Here is a 3,835-nt window from a genome sequence, read left to right as displayed (position 1 = left end):
TTTGAAAGACTCTTGGCCAAATTTTCTATTTATTTATTTATTTATTTTATATTTTAACTTCTATTTTAGGATTGGGGGTTCATGTAAAGTTTTGTCACACAGGTAAACATGTGTCACAAAGTTTTGTTGTACATATGATTTCATCACCAAGCTATTAAGCCCAGTACCCAATAGTTATCTTTTCTGCTCCTCTACCTTTTCCCACCCTCCTCCCTTCTGATAGACCCCAGTGTCTGTTCCTTCTTTGTGTTCCTAAGTTCTTATCATTTAGCTTCCATTTATAAGTGAGAACATGAGGTATTTGGCTTTCTGTTCCTGTGTTAGTTTGCTAAGGATAACATCCTCCAGCTCCATCCAGGTTCCTGAAAAAAACATAATGTCATTCTTTTCCATGACTGCATAGTTTTCCATGACTGCATAGTATTCCATGGCGTATATGGGATAGTATACATATACACCATGTGTATGCATATATCTTTTCTTTAATCTGTCATTGATGGGCATTTAGGTTGATACTATGTCTCTGCTATGTGTATAGTGCTGCAATGAACATTTGTGTGCATGTATCTTTATGGTAGAATAATTTGTGTTTGGATATCTTCCCAGTGATGGGATTGCTAGGACAAATGGTAGTTCTCCTTTCTCAATGTATTAGGTAGTATGAAGGAAGTGAGAGTGGCTAGTTTAATTGGAAGCTTGAGGACATGGGTAAAAGTTTGCATTCTCCGTGGAGAATCTAAAAGAGAGAAGAAAGGAATCTCAGAAAGGAATTCTTCATTCTGTATGTAGAATCAAAGGAAGATTAAACAAGAAAAAGTAGGACAGCTGATCAGTGTTGAGAGCACAAGTATGGACACGAAAATTTGAATGATTTTCGTTCTGTGAGGTTGTGTGGCATTTCCTGTCAACTCTGGAAAGATGGAGAAGCTGTAAAATCCATAATTATAACTGAAGGCATATTTAGAGCAAGAGCAAATATGTAACTGAAACTGTTATGTCAAGAAAAAGATGAAATTTCATTCAATATTCAGAGTTTAAGAAAGAATGAATTGCACATGAGAATTCTGAAAGCATTTGTTGAAGTTGAAATGATTAAAATTTTTAAAGTTTTCATGCCAGAAAGAATAAACATTAGCTGTCAAAAAATTCATTTAAATGGATAAACACTGAGCAAATGAACTCTTCCTGGATTTTTTACTTATTACCTGATTAAATTGATTGGCAAAAAATTTAAATTGTTTTTCTTTTTCTCTAAATCTATATGTCAAAGTAAGAAACCCAAAACAATCAACCTTGTAACTCTTTTAAGCAAAATATTCAGAAATTGTTTAGGTGCCAGGCATGTTGAATTTGAGATCCTGACAGCCAAAGAGCAAGTGCATATATGCATTTTAAGTAGTTTCCTATATCATTATTTCAATGCCACTGCAATCATTCACTGTGTTAGGTGCTCCAATCATTTATTGATCTTCTGGTAACTAGCATAGCAGCTGCAACAAAAGCCCTACCATGTTTCTGTCTAGAATCTCTGCTGCCCCACAGCACCTGCTGTGTACCCCTCACGGGGAGTTTATAAAGAACATTAGATAACATAGAGGCTTGTTTAGCTTAGTGCTGCATTTAGTTTTGGTATTGAGGAGTTCATAGGTTGCCAATACTTTCGTTTTGTTATTTTATTATTGTTATTTTTATTATTGTTTATTATTGTTATTTTATTATTGTGGTGTTTGTTTCAAAAGACTGAATGTTAGAATGAAGTATATTTTAGGCCTGACTAAAATGTTATCAGGGCCAGGAAATTTGGTGAGATTTCTTTCAACAAAAATCTCTTAGGCTCATAGTGCAACTCAATTCTAGGAAGCTCAAGAAAGCTACTAGTTTCAACTCATCCAGTTGCCAGATGCTAATCTCTTGATAGCATGCTGCTTCAGCATTCATTCATCTATCGCTTGCTTTGGTTTCTGCCTTAGAAAAAGACAGGACCGAATGCAGAGAAACTGAAAATCAAACAAACATACTCTCTGAGAATATAGTTAAAGGAAATAAGGTTTTTATTTATGAATGCGGCAAAGGTTACTGTTTCTTACAAAATGATAGTGACATAAAATAAAAACAATGACTCTGAAAAGAATGCAAAATAAGCATCTCAGTGTTTAAACTTGCATCATAAATCCCATGGGTTTTATTTTATAGGAAACGCTTAGGTCCTGATTCAGAGCCTACTCACTGTGTTTTATATAAAATTCCTACATGCTTAATTATTTACTTTCTGAGCTTACAGATGGTATATGGAGTGTGTATATCTAGGTAATCCTGAGAAAACCACTAGACTGTAAACTCCATGAGAGCAGAGACCAGATTTATTTTATTTGATTTTGGATTTCCAGTGTTTAGCACATTCCTGCTGTATAGCAGCTGGACAAGAAAAATTTAACAAAGAAATGAATGATAATTAATTGGAAGTAATCAGGGAATCTAGACCTGTCTTAATGAAACAGATGTGAGATATATCCTCTGAAGCCTAAAAAATCAAAGTGGTGATGCTAACAGTGTTGCCTTTTAGAGATAGTTGGAATGGAAAAATATTTATTTTTTTCCGAGGTCTGCCAGTTCTGTCTTGAATGACCTAAACCATGAAATTTATACCTCAGAATATTGGCAACTATTTAGATCAAACGAAACTCAACCATCTTCAAAAAAGTGACCTTTCAGAGAAAGTTGCTGTTCTTTTATTGACTTCTTAAATCAAACTTATTTTTAATGTGTCCCACATGTTTAAAACATAGTCTGCATCAAACTTAACTCTAAATTATGATGCATCTGAACCTAAATATTGTCTCAACTAAAAATTTTTAATCAAAATAACAGTGCACTTACTGGCTTAATTCAACATGGGGGAGCTGATGTTTCTGAACCCTGGAGGCTAATCCTATGATAGCAATAGTCCTTGAGTAGTGTAGATTCTTTTGCTTCTATTTTTGAAGAAAGGTAATGAATATAAAGGTAATGAATATAAAGGAATATAAACATCAGAGTTCTACTTCATTAAAATGTGGTTTAAAATGAGGTGAAAACTGTCAGAATATTCTTATTATCATGTGTTATGAACAGAGTATGCCAGGGAATAATTTATTCATCTAGAATGAGCGTGCTAACTGTAAAACCCTTTGGTTAAAAGCACAGACTCTGAAGCAGACTAAAGTGCTTAAATCTTGGCTGTGTCACTTACCAGCTATATGACCTTGGTAATACTTCATCTTTTTGGGCCTCGGATTTCTCATTTGTGAAATGATGGTAATAATATTACCTATTTAACAGGCTTGTTGTGAAGATTCAATGAGTTAATATGAAGTTCATAGAAAGTGCCTGGAATAGTGGCCGGGTGTGGTGGCTCACACCTGTAATCCCAGCACTTTGGGAGGCCGAGGCAGATGGATCACGAGGTCAGGAGATCTAGACCATCCTGGCTAACACAGTGAAACTCTGTCTCTACTAAAAATACAAAAAATTAGCTGGGCATGGTGGCAGGCGCCTGTAGTCCAGCTACTTGGGAGGCTGAGGCAGGAGAATGGTGTGAATCCGTGAGGCAGAGGTTGCAGTGAGCCGAGATTGCACCACTGCACTCCACCCTGGGCGACAGAGCAAGACTCCATCTCAAAAAAAAAAAAAAAATAAAAATAAAAGTGCCTGGAATATAAGTGCTAAATAAGTGTTTGGTCACTCATTGTTTCTCATAAAGTGACACAAAACTTTAATCATTCTTTGGAGAAAGTTATGTGAAAAGGAAGAGCAGCATGCAGTCATAACATTAATTCCATCAATTCCTTGGCTGTAT

General features: G+C 35.4%; 1 long non-coding RNA gene across 1 annotated transcript in view; it reads left to right on the top strand.

Moving 5' to 3' along the window:
- The window catches only part of UFL1-AS1 (UFL1 antisense RNA 1), a 321,372-nt gene that overhangs the window by 27,350 nt on the left and 290,187 nt on the right, over positions 1-3,835 (top strand). The gene's annotated exons all lie outside the window — the stretch shown is intronic.

The sequence above is a fragment of the Homo sapiens genome, chromosome 6 (genome assembly GCF_000001405.40).
Source record: "Homo sapiens chromosome 6, GRCh38.p14 Primary Assembly".
NCBI lineage: Eukaryota > Metazoa > Chordata > Mammalia > Primates > Hominidae > Homo > Homo sapiens.
Note: the sequence above shows the minus strand (reverse complement) of the source record. Positions and strands in the feature narration are given on the sequence as shown.